Source organism: Homo sapiens, chromosome 2, assembly GCF_000001405.40.
Source record: "Homo sapiens chromosome 2, GRCh38.p14 Primary Assembly".
Taxonomy (NCBI): Eukaryota; Metazoa; Chordata; class Mammalia; order Primates; family Hominidae; genus Homo; species Homo sapiens.
Window position 1 is genome coordinate 129,058,617 of NC_000002.12, and position 1,002 is coordinate 129,059,618.

Here is a 1,002-nt window from a genome sequence, read left to right on the forward strand (position 1 = left end):
TTCAAGAGCTCTCCTGGCTATTAAAACTGCAAACCTGGGATAACATTAAAAATGTTAATGTGCTGTAAAACTTTCCACGTGTGAGACTTTCACCTGAAAAGAAGAGGAGATGAGTCTGTAATGGCTGGCTGTTCATCTTCTCGATGGATTTTATTATAGCAGTAACAAGTGCAATTCCACTTAAAAGACTCTTGTCAGGTAACAGTTCCAGTAGACTATAACTCAGCATGAAAAACAATCTCTGCCCCACACAAACTTGGAACGGCCAGGAAAAAAAATGAGCATCAAGAAATACAGCTCACTGGTCCTATATCCATGAATGTTTTTGAGATGGCGGACGTTAGGGATGAACTAGGGGGTGGGCTAAGGGAGGAGGCAAGTCACATCACTCCATTAATTCATTTGCCATCAGGGCACAAAATAGGCCCTTCTGAGGACTCCAGTTCCATTTTTATCTCTCAAAAATTGTAGCAAAGACTGGGATACAGAACCTGTCAGGCCTGTTATAAAAGCAACATTGTCACTGGCAATTTTAAATAGCCAGGACAGTATTTACCTTGGAAGGGGGAAGAGGGTGTATAAAGTAGACAAACAATCCTGCTACCCAGACCAAATGGTCTCGTGGAGAGGTCTCAGCAGGAGAGCGATTCGGGCTCTATTGCTCTCTTGGACTTCCTTTGTCCCAGCTGATACGTGGCAGCTCCATCCTCTCTGACATGCCGTAGTATCCCCTCATGCCCAGTAAAGTTCAGTGGCAGCAGCCTGTGGCCTAAGTCCAACCTGTGGCTGGTTTCCTCATTTTCCTGCCTGGTTTGCCAGGGACAGAGTGGTAAGCAGGGCCCAATGCCACAATAAGTGGCAGCTTTGCATGCGAGAGCCGCCAATGAAAGGCATGCAGATAGCCACGCTGGGGTCTGTGGGGTCAAGGCCAAAGAGTTCGAGATTTCCTCACTTGTACCTCAGTGAAAATATAGAAGATTGGTGGTAAGAAAAATGAAGACA

The 1,002-nt window shown here is 45.8% G+C and overlaps 1 annotated feature.

The window, feature by feature from the left end:
* Window positions 574-768: a silencer, noted in NCBI's record as "fragment chr2:129816763-129816957 (GRCh37/hg19 assembly coordinates)". NCBI's record gives its function as "represses an EF-1alpha promoter that drives an FKBP-Casp9 reporter gene in an ReSE screen in HepG2 liver carcinoma cells {active_cell/tissue: HepG2}" and the evidence as "EXISTENCE:reporter gene assay evidence [ECO:0000049][PMID:32094911]".